Raw genomic sequence first — 15,561 nt, forward strand, 5'->3', positions numbered from 1 at the left:
TACTATTAGGTTATAGTTGATTTCATTAATTCCTTCTTCATCTTTACTATGTATTTCCAGAGAGTGTGATACCTTTTAACGTCTAATAAGAGACATTCACAAGTGTTCTCTTTGAGGCCTGCTACCTGGAGGCTTCATCTACTTGAAAAGAACCTTGGCTTCCGCAACCCCCCACCCTTTACCTTAACTCAAGCTGATTTCAATTCTTCAGCCAGAGTTTAGCCCTTTCAACCAATTGCCAATCAGGAGATCTTTAAATCCACCTATTACCTGAAAGCCCAGCCTCTTCCTCCTTTGAGATGTCCCAACTTTCCAGGCTGAACCAATGTATACACATTTTTTTTTTTTTGAGACGGAGTCTCACTCTGTCGCCCAGGCTGGAGTGCCCAGGCTGGAGTGCAGTGGCATGATCTCAGCTCACTGCAACCTCCACCTCCCAGGTTTGAGCAATTTTTCTGCCTCAGCCTCCTCAGCATGTATTGATTTATGTCTTTGCCTATAACTTCTTTGTCCCTAAAATGTATCAAATCAAACTGTAACCCAATCACCTTGGGCACATGTTCTCAGGACCTCCTAAAGCTGTGTCATGGGTCATGATCCTTAACCATGGCAAAATAAACCTCTAAATTAATTGAGACCTGTCTCAGATACTTTTTAGTTTACAGATTGAGACCTTAACCTGTAGGATCTGACACTATTTCCAGGTAGACAGTGTTGAACTAAGTAGGACATGACACCCAAGCTGGTGTCCACTGGAGAATTGCTTGGTATAGTGAAAACCCCCCACACGTCTAGTGTCAGAAGTGTTATTGTTAGAGTAGGTAGTCAGGCAGATATGGGCAAGGCAGGAAAGGCAGGAATGTCAGGCGACAATCAGGTGATGGTCAGGCGGTTATTAAACTGTCACTCTAAAATAATTGGTTGCAGTAGGTGCCAGGGAAAGGCAGTCTCCTAAGAGATAGAAAACACCTAAAGCTGGTGATCAGCAGCTTTCCAATAAGATCTCAGGAACTGGGCAAGTGTGCTCAAGCATGCGTACTAAGAGGCAAAATGGCAGATTTTAACTGGTATACAACCTTCCTCTAGGAACACTTGACTGGTAAGGGAAAAACGCCTCAAATGAGAATGTGCACAACTTCAGTAAAGACATTGCACATGTGGCCCCTCCCAAGTGCTGACAGGCCACTGCACGTGCAGACAGCCCATGCCAAGGAAAAAATCAAAGGAGATACAAAACCTCGGAAGCATGCCAATGTATAAAACGCAAAGTCAAAAGTCAAACAGGGCACCTGGATCTCTCAAGTTGCCTGCTTGCCCCTCTTCCTTTGGTTCCTGCTCTAAAACTTTCTAATAAACTCTCACTCCTGCTCAAAAACTTGCCTCAGTCTCTCACTCTGCCTTATGCCTCTTGGATGAATTCTTTCCTTTGAAGAGGCAAGAATCAAGTTATTGTAGATCCGTATGGATTCACCACTGCTAACATTATGCTGAATGGTATGTGAGAGTAGAAAAAAAAACACTGTTTTTTCCCTGTCTCTAATAATGAGCTTAACATCAGAATAGAAATAATAGAAGAAAAAAATCAAAGAACTGGAAGCCAGAATTTACTCAACCTGAACAAAAGAAAGAAACTAGAATGGGAAAAAAAAGAAAAAAAAGAACAGAGCCTCAGGGACCTGTGAAACTATCATAAAAGATCTAACATGGGGGCTAAAAATTTACTCCAAGAAATAATAGCTGAAAAGTTCTCAAATTTGTCAAGAGACATAACTATAGAATTCAGCAATACAGAAAAAGAAATATACAACAGGACCAAGCAAGGTTTATTCCAGGGAGGCAAGGCTGGTTCAATATTAGAAGATCAGTGTAATCTATCTTATTAACAGGCTAAAGAAGAAAAACACCACATGCTTATAGTAACTGATGCAGAAAAAACACTTGCCAAAATTCAACACCTATTCATGATAAAAACACTCAGAAAAAAATAGAAATAGAGGAGAATTTCCTCAACTTGATAAAGGGCATCTACACAAAACCTACTACTAATATTGTACCTAACCATGAAAGACTGAATGTTTTCCCTCTAAGATCAAAAGCAAGGCAAGGATGTCTGCTCTCATCACTCTTATTCAACGTAGAGCTAGACACTCTAGCCTGCGCAATAAGGCAAGAAAAGGAAATAAAACGCATATAGATCTGAAAGAAAGAAGTAAGATCTGTTTACTTATTTACAGGTAATGTGATTACACAGAAAATCCCAAGGAATCAACAACAAAAGACTCCTAGAACTCAAAAGTGACCAACAAATTCCTCTTTAAGTAAAGTTGGGTCTCTCACATGTAATTGAAAGAGTCCTTTATTTATTCACATATCCATCAACTATTTATTGAATGCCTAAAATTTGCCAGTAGCTATTCCAGGCAATAGATACACCATCAAACAAAAAGAGTTCTTACCCTCAAGGGTGATAGTAAGAGATGTAAAAAGTTAAAAAATGGTAAAAGAGAAAAAATGAAGAGTGCTACTTTAGAAAATGAGGTAAGGGAAGAGTTATTTAATAAGACACCTCAGAAAATGAGGAATTTGGCCAGGGGGATATCTGAGGAAAGAGTTCCAGTCAGTGGAAACTGTGAATTCAGAAAGCCTGAGGCTGAAACAGGCAAGTGTGTTTGAGAAAAAGCAAGGAGGCCGGTGGCTGTGCAGAGTGAGGCAGAGGAAGGAGAATGGGCTGTGGATCAGAGGACCCTGTGCCAGATCATACAACTCCTTGCAGTTCATGTAAGGACTCGGATTTTACCTGGAGTGGAAAAAGAAGCACTGAAAGATTTGAGCAGGGGAGTAACCTGATAGCGTTTATGTTTAGTCCTGCCACTTCGACAGATAAACGCACCAATGGGCTTGATGAGATTTAGGCCAACCCATAACCGCCCCTCAACTTCTTTCCTTTCAATTTCAAAACTCCTCTATGGCTTCCTCCATCTGTTCTTCCTTCTGAGAAGTGCTCTCTCTGCCCCTTTACAGAACTAACCACTTCGGCAACTCCTTGGACACTTTCCTTCTTGTTAATAATTTGCTTTCTCCGCCCCTCAAAAGCTTGCTGTTTCTGTAAATCATTACCTGTAAGAGGAACCGCTGGGAGTCCTGTAAACTTTAGCCCAGAGCTTGGCTCCTCCTCCAGAATGTCTCCACCAATCAAGGAAAGTGTTTTGGGCCAGTCTTGCTCCTCCGGATTGTCAGACTGCTCCTCCCTCTTCTTTAGACTGCCACGAGGAAAAAGCAGATGTGAGAACTCAAGGTTCAGGGCTGCTCTTCTAAGAAACAAGTCTGCCATAATCTCCATCTGTGTTGGAATCTGTTAACTAGTGAGTACCTCATCTCCCCTCCTGTGTAAGATTTCCTGAACTGGCACATCTGTTTTTTGAGCAAAGATAACAAACAGATGAACAAAACCAACAATCAAAAATGCTGTCATTAAAGTCTTGGGCAGCCAAAGTTTCTCTCAGAATTTCTCAGTTGTGTGATACTATCTATTAAGTGATGAGGAGTATGCACACACAAAAGGCTATAAATGTAGCAGCTGAGTTTTCATGTTGAGCCTTTTGGTGCTATTTGATTTTTTGAAAAACTATGTACATGTATTAAGTTGATAAATTTTTTTTTTAATTTTAATTGAACCAGATGCGGTGGCTCAAGCCTGTAATCCCACCACTTTAGGAGGCTATGGTGGGCAGATGCAGATCACTTGAGGCCAGGAGTTCGAGACCAGCTTGGCCAACATGGTGAAACCCTATCTCTACTGAAAATAAAAAATTAGCCAGGTGTGGTGGCAGGTGCCTGTAACCCCAGCTACTTGGGAGCCTGAGGCAGTAGAGTCACTTGAACCTGGGAGGTGGAGTTTGCAGTAAGCTGAGATTGCATCACTGCACTCCAGCCTGGGTGACAGAACAAGACTCCATCTCAAAAAAAAGACCAGGTAGTGGCTGAGATTTTCATTGTACTGTCTGCTTAGCTCCCCACCTTGCTCAGTGACAGATGGGAATCCATCTTCTGCATCATCCAGAAAGTATGTAAATTACTTCCAGGAAACTTTGGGAAACACAGATGCAAACCTAAGAGCAGCCAGTTTTCTCCTTTAGGTGGTCAAGGGCAGCTGCAAAAGTTCTGTATAGGAGGGGCTTCAGGCAGGGTCTGGTTGGGTTTGGAGACAACAGCAGTGAATTTACCTTGCGTTGAGGCTGTATATGTTAAACTACTGTTATTACTTGGATACTTAGAGGGAGGGATGTTTAGGGAGCTGTGGGGAGGCTAAAGCCCCCTTGGCTGTAGGGACAAAGAGCTTGCATTTCAGATGAGACCTTAAATACTTTCAGAAGCCTATCTGACCAGGGGTGGTACTGTCTTTCTTAGAAGAGTTTTCCTTACCAATGTTTCTGTGGCTCAGTATAAAAATCTGGAGTCACCCTGGGAAAGTTATCTCAGCAATTTTACCTACAAATAATTTTATAAACCTGGGAAATAGAAGTTGTAAAATGCTAAGATCGATGAAAAGGGAGGAAAAGAACTTTGTTGAGGAGAAGGTAATCTTATGGTTTTGATGAAGAGGATGTCGATATTTGCTTTTTGGTAGAACAGAATGGTTAGGTTCATTTTAAGCTCCAAATGACTGATCAATTTTCTTTTCAACATACGTTTGAAGGATTCTGAATGTGGTGTAGAGTATTGTATGGGAGCTAGGGAACAAATCATACTAAACTCTGATTCTATTCAGAATCAGCAAGCTAAGTATGATATATTTATCTCCAATCATATTAATATTTACATAATTATTTAATGTCTTCCTTAATAGTCTATAAGCTTCATGGGAGCAAGACCAGCCGTGTCTTGTTCACAGCTATATTTTCAGCATTTAGTACAGGTCTGGCATATACCAAGTGTTCAATAAATACACGGGTAATGAATAAATGCGTTGTCCAATTTAAATATGTGTGTCTGTTTGTGTATACTTCCTTGTCTGTAAAATGAAAATACTAATAAATAACTGCAAAATGCTTAACAGTACAACCACTTGCCAGATCTCAGCAAAAATGTTACGTCCCTAGAGAGACCTCCTAAAAGGTCCCTTTTCTCCCATTACTCTCTTTGTTTTCTTGCGTAACATCACATTTATTTATTCCCTTGTTTACTATATGTGTCTTTCTATGAGAGCAAGGAGGACCTTGTCTCTTGCATTCCCTCCTGTATCCTCTATGTCTGAAATAATTCATGGCAAGTGATTAATAATTGTTGAATAAATAAATGAATCATGCCAACCTACCAAGAATGAAGCTCAAGACCTTAAGATATTTGTCCAAATTCCTGCCTTTTATTTAATAGAATCAGAAATTGTTTCTAATACTTCACAACCACTTAAAAATACTATTCATTTTTACATCCAAGTAATGAAAGAATCAGGACGTTCCTTTTGGAAGACATAGTTTCAACATTTTATCTAAATTGCAAAATTATACAAAAACTCAAGTGACCATTGATAGGGGACCGGTTTAAGAAATGACAGTGCAGTTCTTCACTAGAATGTCATACAACTGTTAAAAGAAAAAAATCAGAACAGGGCTGAGTGTGGTGGCTCCCACCTGTAATCCTAGTGCTTTGGGAGGCCGTGTGCGTGTTTGTGTATATTTCCTTGTCTGTAAAATGGAAATAATAATAAATAACTGCAAAGTGCTTAGCACAGGAGGATTGCTTGAGGTCAGGAGTTTGAGACCAGCCTGGGCAACATAGTGAGACCCCCATCTCTAAAAAATTTTTTAAAACACTTAGCTGGGTGTGGTGGCACACACCTGTAATTCCAGGTACTCTGGAGGCTGAGGCAGGAGGATCGCTTCATCCCAGAAGTTCAAGCTGCAGTGAGGGGTGGTCGTGCCACTACACTCCAGTCTGGGTGACAGAGTGAGATCCATCCTGTCTTTAGGCAGGGAAAAAAAGGAAAGAATAAATGAATAAATACTTCATTTAAAAAAATAGAATGAAGATCTCTGCGCACTGGTATGGAAAGCCCTTAAAAGGTACATTGTTAAAAATGTTTTTAGTGGGCAGAATAGTGTGTATTCTGTGCTACCTGTTGTGTAAAATTGGTGGAGAAATAAGAATCTATACTCATAATTTGCTTGAATGCACATAAAGAAACCCTGAAAAGATAAGTAGAAATAATAATAGTGGTTTCCTGGGAGTGAGAGCAAAGTGGGCAGCTTTGAGACTAGAGGTGGGAGGCAGATATTTTTTTTTCCCTCTGTACCTTTTACAGTTTTTTTGAGCCATTTGAAGATATTATGCGAAAAAAAATTAAAAACAGAGAGAGACAAGTAGTGTTGATTACTTAACTTCTTTCAGTTGAAGGAAACCTGATGCTAATTCTGTTAAGAGGAGAGCAGCCAAAAGCATAGGTTGTGACTTGCCAGCAAAAAACAGGGACCGGGGCCGGGCGCGGTGGCTCACGCCTGTAATCCCAGCACTTTGGGAGGCCGAGGCGGGCGGATCACGAGGTCAGGAGATCGAGACCATCCTGGCTAACACGGTGAAACCCCGTCTCTACTAAAAATACAAAAAATTAGCCGGGCGTAGTGGCGGGCGCCTGTAGTCCCAGCTACTCGGGAGGCTGAGGCAGGAGAATGGCGTGAACCCGGGAGGCGGAGCTTGCAGTGAGCCGAGATCGCGCCACTGCACTCCAGCCTGGGCGACAGAGCGAGACTCCGTCTCAAAAAAAAAAAAAAAAAAAAAAAAAAAAACAGGGACCGGTAGTTCCCTCTGTACCCAATCCCCAATGCCAAACAGAATGACATTGTTAGACTTAAGGTCTTAACCTGCAGGGCAACTGGGATTCAGAGTGATTTTAGTTCTGTTCTTAAGAGCAGCCTTTTCTCCTAAAGCCTGCCAAGAAATTTTTGTTAATTCTTCCCAGGAACATAACAGACAAGGCCCCTGCTCTGGTAGAACTTACATCACAGTGCAAAGATCAGCAAACTGTAGCCCATGGGTCAAATCCAGCCCTCTGCCTGTTTTTGTATAGCCTTTGAACCAAGAATGGTTTTTAAATTTTTTAATGGTTGAAAAAATAACTAAAAGAGGAACACTAATTCATGACACATGAAAATTAAATGAAATTCTAGTGTCAGTACCATAAATAAGGTTTTATTAGAACACAGCCATGCCAAAATTTATTTATGTATTGTCAATGGCTGCTCTCTCAATGGCAGAGTTAAATACCTGCAGCAGAGACCATATGGCCCACAAAGCCTCAAATATTTAGTGTCTGGCCCTTCACAGAAAAAGTTTGCTGACCCCTATTCTAGTAGAGAGTAATATGCTTGGCACCATGATAAGCATTTTGCATACAGTATCCCATTCAGTCTTCAGGACAAATCTCTGATGGAGGTTCTATTAGTCGCTCCATTGGTAAAATGTGAAACTGAGGTTCAGAGTGATTAATAATTCAAATAAGGTCATGCAGTTCATAAGAGGCAAAACTGGGAGACCATATCACATGACCATATGACTCAGTAGCCAGTGTATTTAACCATCATGCCATAGACTGGTGCTTTTCACACTTGAATGTACATACCAGTCACCTGGGATCTTGTTAAAATGTCAACATCTACCAATTCAGTAGATCTAGAGTGGGGCCTGAGAATGTGCATTTCTAACAAGCTTCTAGGTGATAAAGATGATGATGGTGGTTCACAAATCACAGCCTCTAAATCAGTGATTCTCAACCATGGCTGCTGCACATTAAAATCTGAGGACATTTTAAAAAATATAAATGGGCCCAGAGCCCACTCTGAAATATTCTGATTTAATTGATCCAAGACCTAGGCATCAGAGTATTTTTTTTTAATGCTTTCTTGGTGATTCAAATGTACAGCTGGACTGCAAACCACTGCTCTATTGAAATCCTGTCGAATGACAGTAAAAACATTTAATCCAAAGACCAGAGTTCTAGTTCTAACTCTGGTATGACAGAATGAAGCAGGCTGTTTCCCCTCTCTGGGTCTCCAGTTTTCTTTGCAGGTGAAAAAGGAAAAAGCTGAAACCAGATGGTGTCAGAGGGCTCAAGATCACTGACTTGTCAGGTCTTCACACACATAAATGGGAAGGACAGAAGTACCCAGGTTTCCTGATGCATCGGTTATATCAACATGATGCCCAAACACCAGGTCTGCTTAGGGTAAAACTGCAATAACTGTAGATGTCAGCTAAACTGTCCATTTAGCTGACATCTGCAATTATGTATTGTTTTGGCAATGTATCAATACAGAAATGCTTCCACATAGCCAGACTGCCTTACATGGCACACAGCTAGAATTGTAGTTAGAATGATGATTTAATGATTATGAGAGTAATATATATTGCATTGTAGGAAATTTGGAAAATTACAGGAAGTATAATGAGGAGAATCTCAAACACTCATAATCCCTAGAACTGTATTTTTAACAGCCTCAACCAAGTAAATGACATTGTGATCAAATGATTTCCCACAGAAGCAGGCGATGGCCCAGAGGGGCCTCCCCGACAAAAGTCCTAAATGTTAAAGCCCCATTATTACATCTCTATTAAATGCAGCTCCAAGCCTGGACTTAAAAGTAGTATGGGCCCCTATTGAGAGCATGGGAACTGCAACCTATCAACTAGACAGTTCATAAACTGTGACAGTGCTTTCATGTCTAATTGTTATTGGGCTACTCTCGATTTCTTCATCTACAGATTATCCACTGTGAAAAATGCTCCTTAACATTTCTACCCTACTTTGAAATCTGCAGGTGAAAGATATTAGACAAGAAGCCTTAGCCCTTTGCTTTCAGTGAGATTAAGTGGGTGACCCAGATCTTTACTTCTTTAGAAATGCATATGGGTGTCAATAGTGCACAGTATTCTGGAGAATGGGCTAGGACCTGATAGTTCTGGGTTCAAATCCAGCCAATGCCTCTTACTAGTCATTTTCTCAATCTGTAAACAGAGATGATAATAGTACCCACTTCACAGGGTTTCTCTGAGGATTTAATAAGAAAGTGTCTATAAAACACTGAGCACTGTGTTTGGAACACAGAGTGTACGCAGCAAATGGTACTATCATGATGATTATCAATACTAATAACAAAACTTAGCCACTTTGGGGTATGGCTACCTTCAGGACAGAAACAAATATATGTCCTTTTTGCTTGTCTTTTAGATGAACTGGTCTCTGTGCAAATCCTGAGTGCTAAAGCTTCCAACAAGACTGATGCTAGCTCGTGTCACCAGGAAGATGCTACGTCATGCCAAGTGTTTTCAGCGCCTAGCAATTTTTGGTTCTGTGAGGGCACTGCATAAAGATAATAGAACAGCAACCCCTCAGAATTTCTCCAACTATGAATCCATGAAACAGGACTTCAAACTGGGGATTCCAGAGTATTTCAACTTTGCTAAAGATGTCCTGGACCAATGGACTGATAAGGAAAAGGTATGGGGGGAGGGCCAGTCAGACCACAATTTCTCAACTGGGAGTGATTTTACCCCTAGGTAACATCTCTAATGTCTAGAAATATTTTTGTTGCCATGATAGGGGCAGAGGCAGTTGCTACTGGCATCTAACAGGTAAAAGCCAGGGATTCTGCTAAATATCCCATAATGCACAGGGCAGCCTCCAGAACAAAGAATTATTTGACCCGAAATGTCAATAGTTCCATGGTTAGTTGAGAGACCCTGTATTACATAAATGTAGAATTCTAGGTTGACTTAAAAAAAAAAAAGGAGAAGAGTGAAAAGTAATTCCAAGAGTCAGAAATGGTAGAAAAGGAGGCACAGATAAATCTTTGGGGAAAATGTAAAGGATGCAAGAATTCTCACTTATTGGAAAGAAAAATGATCAGGCTAAATGGGAAATGATTTGGGCCAAAAGAAATGACATGGCTTCCAACGTCTAGAAATAAGGACCCCAAAGTTATTATTTTTCCTGTTATGTTTAGTTATGTAATAACTATACATAGTTATGGGGTACAAAGATATTTTTGATACATGTATAAAATGTGTAGTGATCAAATGAGGGTAATTAGGCTACCCATCATCCCAAACATGCATCATTTCTTTGTGCTGGGAGCATTCAAAATCCTCTCTCCTAGCTTTTTGAACATACTCAATATATTATTCTTAACTGTTTTCACTCTACAGTGCTATAGAACACTAGAACTTATTCCATCCATCTAGCTATAATTTTGCATCCATTAACCAACCTCTTTCTATGCTCCTCTCCCCACTACCGTTCCTAGCCTCTAATAGCCACAATTCCACTCCCTACTTCTATGAGCTCTTTTCAGGCTGGAGTGCGGTGGTGTGATCTCAGCCCACTGCAACCTCCGCCTCATGAGTTCAAGCAATTCTTGTGCCTCAGCCTCCCGAGTAGCCGGGACTACAGGCACCTGCCACCATGCCGGCTAATTTTTGTATTTTTAGTAGAGACAGGGTTTTGCCATGTTGGCCAGGCTGACCTTGAACTCCTGGTCTCAAGTGATCCGCCCACCTTGGCCTCCCAAAGCACTGGGATTACAGGCGTGAGCCACCCACCACGCCAGGCCGAGCTCCTTTTTTTTTTTTTTTTTTTTTTTTTTAAGAGACAGGGTCTTACTTTGTTGCCCAGGCTGAAGTTCAGTGAAGCTCATTTTTTTAAGCTCCCACATATGAGTAAGAACATGTGGCATTTATCTTTCCGTGTCTGACTTATTTCACTTAACATAATGTCCTCCAAGTTCATACATGTTGCCACAAATAACAGAATTTCATTCTTTTTTATGGCTGAATAGTATTGCACTGTGTATATATACCACATTTTCTTTATCCATTCATCTCTTGATAGACATTTAGGTTGATTCCATATCTTGGCTATTATGTACAGTGCTGCAATAAACATGGCAGTGCAGATATCTCTTCAATAGACTGATTTCCTTTCCTTTGAAAAAATACCCAGTGGTGAGACTGCTAAATCATATGGTAGTTTTATTTTTAGTTTTTTGAGAGGCCCTTATATTGTTTTCTGCAATGGCTGTACTAATTTATATTCTCACCAATAGTGTTTCAGAGTTCCCTTTTCTCCACATCCTCTCAAGCATTTGTTATCTTTTGTCTTTTTGACAATAGCCATTCTAACTGGGGTAAGATCATATCTCATCATGGTTTTGATTTGAATTATCCTGATGATTAATGATGTTGAGCATTTTTTCATATACTTGCTGCCAATTAGTATGTCTTTTGAGAAATGTCTATTCAGATTCTATGTCCATTTTTTAATTGAATTATTTGTTTTGTTTTGTTTTGTTTTGCTGTTGGGTTATTTGCATTCCCTGTATATTCTGGATATTAATTCCTTGTCAGGTGAATAGTTCACAAATATTTTCTCCCATTCTACATCTTGTCTCTTCTCTCTGTTGATTGCTTCCTTTACTGTCCAGAAGCTTTTTAGCTTTGTATAGTCCCATTTGTCTGTTTTTGGTTTTGTTGCCTGTGTTTTCATATCCTTATCCCTAAAATATTTGCCTAGGGGAGTCTCAGAGCCTACTCTGGCTCAGGATCTGCCCAATTTTATTAAATTTATTATAAAATTTAAAAAATTTTAAAAATTAAAATTAAAATAAAAAATAAAACATTTGCCTTGATCAATGACTTGAAGCATTTACACTATATTTTCTTCGGTTGTTTTATAGTTTTGAGTCTTACATTTAAGTCTATAATCCAGTTCGAGTTGATTTTTGTATATGGTGAGAGAGAGGGCTCTAGTCTTAGTCTACCACATATGATTACCACTTTTCCTCGGACCATGTACTGAAGAGGATATCCTTTCCTCAGTGTATGTTCTTGGCACCTTTGTTGAAAATCTGTTGAATGTAAATGTGTGGGTTTAGTTCTGGGTTATCTATTCTGTTTCATTGGTCTATGCATCTGTTTTTATGCCAATACCATGCTGTTTTGGTTACTATAGCTCTGTAGTATGATTTGAAGTTAGGAAGTGTGGTGTCTCTACTAAAAATACAAAAATTAGCCGGGCATGGTGGTGCATGCCTGTAATCCCAGCTACTAGGGAGGCTAAGGGAGGAGAATCACTTTAATCTGGGAGGTGGAGGTTGCAGTGAACTGAGATCACACCATTGCACTCCAGCCTAGGTGACAAGAGTGAGACTCCCTCTCAAAAAAAAAAAAAAAAGATTTAGTGTTAGTTCTTATGGTAGAATTCAGCAGTAAAACCATCCAATTCTGGGCTTTTTTTATTACTGATTCAATCTCATTACATATTATTGGTCTATTCAGGTTTTCTATCTTGGTAGGTTATGTGTGTCCAGGAATTTATCCATTTCCTCTATGTTTTCCAATTTGTTGGCATATAGTTGTTCATAAGAGTCTTTAATGATCTTTTGTATTTCTGTGGTACAGTTGTAATGTCTCCTTTTTCATTTCTGATTTTATTTATTTGGGTCTTCTCTTTTTTTCTTAATCTAGCTAAAGATTTGTCTATTTTGTTTTTCCTCAAAAAATTTTGTTTTGTTGATCTTTTATAATTTTGCCTCAATTTCATTTATTTCTGCTCTGATCTTTATTATTTCTTTCTTTCTACTAATTTTGGATTTAGTTTGTTCTTGCTTTTCTGGTTCCTTGAGGTGCATTCTTAGATTGTTTATTTGAAATCTTTCTGCTTGTTTGATATAGGTGTTTATGGCTATAAACTTCCCTTCTTAACACTGTGTTTGCTTTATTTCATTGATTTTGATATATTATGCTTCCATTTTCATTATTTTCAAGACATTTTTTGCTTTCCTTCTCAATTTCATCATTGACTCACTGGTCATTCAGGAGCATGTTGTTTAATTTCCATGTATTTGTACAGTTTTCCAAAGTTCCTCTTGTTACTGATTTCTAGTTTTATTCCATTGTGGTCTAAGAACATACCTGGTATGATTTCAATTTTTAAGAATTTGTTGAAATTTGTTTTGTGCCCTAACATATGGTCTATTCTGGAGAATGTGCCATGTGCTGATGAGAAGAAGAATGTGTATTCTGTAGCTGTTGGATAAAATGTTGTGTAAATATCTGCGAGGTCCATTTGGTCCAAAGTGCAGTATAAATCCAATGTTTCTTTGTTAATTTTCTGTCTAGATGATCCGTCTAATGCTGAGGGTAGAGTGTTAAAGTCCTGAACATTGTTGTATTGGAGTCTATCTGTTTACATCTAATGATATTTGCTTTATATATCCAGGTGCACTGATGTTGGGTGCGTATATATTTACAATTGTTATATCCTCTTGCTGAATTGATCTATTTATCATTATATAATGACCTTCTTTGCCTCTTTTTATGTTTTCTGACTTAAAGTCTATTTCATGTGATATAAGCATAGCTATTCCTGCACACTTTTGGTTTCTATTTGTTTGAAATATTATTTTCCATCTCTTCATTTTCTGTGTCTTTTTTTTTTTTTTTTTTTTTGAGACAGCGTCTCACTCTGTCACCAGGCTGGAGTGCAGTGGCACGATCTCAGCTCACTGCAACCTCCGCCTCCCGGGTTCAAGCGATTCTCCTGCCTCAGCCTCCCAAGTAGCTGGGACTACAAGGTGCACGCTATCATGCCCAGCTAATGTTTGTATTTTTTATAGAGACGGGGTTTCCCCATGTTGGCCAGGATGGTCTCGATTTCTTGACTTCGTGATCCGCCCGCCTTGGCCTCCCAAAGTGCTGGGATTACAGGCATGAGCCACTGCGCCTGGCCCTATCTATGTGTATCTTTACAGGTGAAGTGAGTTTCTTGTAGGCAGCCTATAGTTGGGTCTTGTTTTTTATCCATTTAGTCAGTCCATACAGTCCATATCTTTTAACTGGGGAATTTAAACTGTTTACATTCAAGATTGTTATTGATAGGTGTTATTTTGTTCATCATAAGGGTGCCAGCAGTGGCTCCAGTGGGTCCCAGGCAGGCTGATCCTCAGGCTCCCAGGAAGTGTGCATGGGCACTGGCAGTAGCAGTGGTAAGCCTCAAGTGAGTCAGACCTCAGGTCCTTTGGCAGTGCACATGGGTACTTGTAGTAGTGGCAGCCTGAATGGGCCAGTCCTTGGGTCCGCAGATGGCAATGCAGGCACAAAGCGGCTCTGCCACTAGAGGGGGCAAGATCATGTTCATGGCAGCAGGCTCAGGAAGGCAGCTCTCAGGCTCTGGGGAGTGTGCTTTAGTGCCTTATGTCCTGGGGCAGCCTCTCTTGATGTGCTGGACTCCCTGTTACCTGGGGTGTAGAGTGCTGTGTGTAGGCTCGGGTGCCAGTGGCCTGGCTCTATCACTGGATCCACCTGGTGTTGGAATGCTGCAGCCCTCTACGGGAACGTGTGGGGATGTCAGCAAGGCCCCAGGGATGTGGAGATGCAGGGGCAATTGGCCCCAGGGCAAGATGTAGTATGGTAGTAGCTCTGTTCCTAAAATGATGCCATGCTATAGCAGCTCGGGTCCTGGGGTTTGTTGCAGGAGGACCTAGTATGAACTTCCTCTCTGGAACAATGTTATACTATACTAGTATACTATACTATACAGCGTTTACTAGGCTCAGGGCATGTGAGGGCTGAGGGGCTCTCCTGTAGGTGGGACTTCAGGCATCTGTGATGGGAATGTGTACTGCTGAGGATCTTCCACTTACATTTTCCTCAAAATAGGGAGTCCCTCTGGGCTCTGTGCTGATCCTGGCCAGCTGCTCTTCTTCCCTCTCTATGCTTTCATCTCTAGTTTTCAGGTCTCAGAGAGTTTTGTCACTTCCTTGCTAAATTCCAGTGTTCTCCCTTTGACACTCTATTTGTCATGTTATCTGCTTACTGTCTTGGTACTTCTGGTAGGAGGTGAGTACTGGGCATCTCTAGTCATCCATCTTGATGATGTCTCCCCCAGAGTTATTTCCAAATTCTCCATCCATGTTCTAACTAATGACTTGCGAACTTTCTTCAGCTAATCTATTCCATTGAGTCAGTTGGCCCAGAATTTAGCTGTATAACAACCTTTAAATCAATGACTGGTTTTTCTTTCCTCAGGCTGGAAAGAAACCTTCAAATCCAGCCTTCTGGTGGATCAACAGAAATGGAGAAGAGATGCGATGGAGTTTTGAGGAACTGGGATCTCTGTCCAGAAAATTTGCCAATATACTTTCAGAAGCCTGTTCCCTACAAAGAGGAGATCGGGTAATTCTGATTCTGCCCAGGGTCCCAGAGTGGTGGCTTGCAAATGTGGCCTGTCTGCGAACAGGTTAGTAATGTTTGCTTTCCGATCATATTTATTACTAAGCTGGAGGGGAGATTTTCCAGAACACCTAAGTAATCATGATACATTTATTTTGTTGTGGGCTTATTGTCAAAGAGTGCCTTTAAATTATATAAAAGTTAGGCCGTGGTAGGCTAATTCCTTATCCCTAGGTGGAACATCTTTAAAAGATAATCTTAGAGTTACAGCCTCACAAAAATTGTTGTGTTGCCCTGATTAGAAAGAAAAGATATTCTAAAGAACCTGTGTTCTGGTCCTGG

At 40.4% G+C, this 15,561-nt stretch overlaps 1 protein-coding gene across 30 annotated transcripts in view, besides 1 other annotated feature; it reads left to right on the plus strand.

Moving 5' to 3' along the window:
- The window catches only part of ACSM3 (acyl-CoA synthetase medium chain family member 3), a 123,177-nt gene that overhangs the window by 86,359 nt on the left and 21,257 nt on the right, over positions 1-15,561 (plus strand). For 25 of the 30 annotated variants that reach the window (XM_047434437.1, XM_047434427.1, XM_024450368.2 and 22 more), the window contains 2 exons: positions 9,221-9,490; positions 15,076-15,286. In XM_047434437.1, the coding sequence (XP_047290393.1) occupies positions 9,272-9,490; positions 15,076-15,286 (430 nt within the window). In that variant the 5' untranslated portion in view covers positions 9,221-9,271. Of the gene's footprint in view, positions 1-3,250; positions 3,363-9,220; positions 9,491-15,075; positions 15,287-15,561 lie in introns of those variants that run through there. The other 5 variants (XM_011545911.3, NM_005622.4, XM_024450367.2 and 2 more) reach the window with 1 other exon arrangement.
- Positions 3,388-3,517: an enhancer, noted in NCBI's record as "active region_10539". NCBI's record gives its function as "activates an Ori minimal core promoter by ATAC-STARR-seq in GM12878 lymphoblastoid cells {active_cell/tissue: GM12878}" and the evidence as "EXISTENCE:reporter gene assay evidence [ECO:0000049][PMID:35858748]".

This window comes from Homo sapiens, chromosome 16, assembly GCF_000001405.40.
Source record: "Homo sapiens chromosome 16, GRCh38.p14 Primary Assembly".
NCBI lineage: Eukaryota > Metazoa > Chordata > Mammalia > Primates > Hominidae > Homo > Homo sapiens.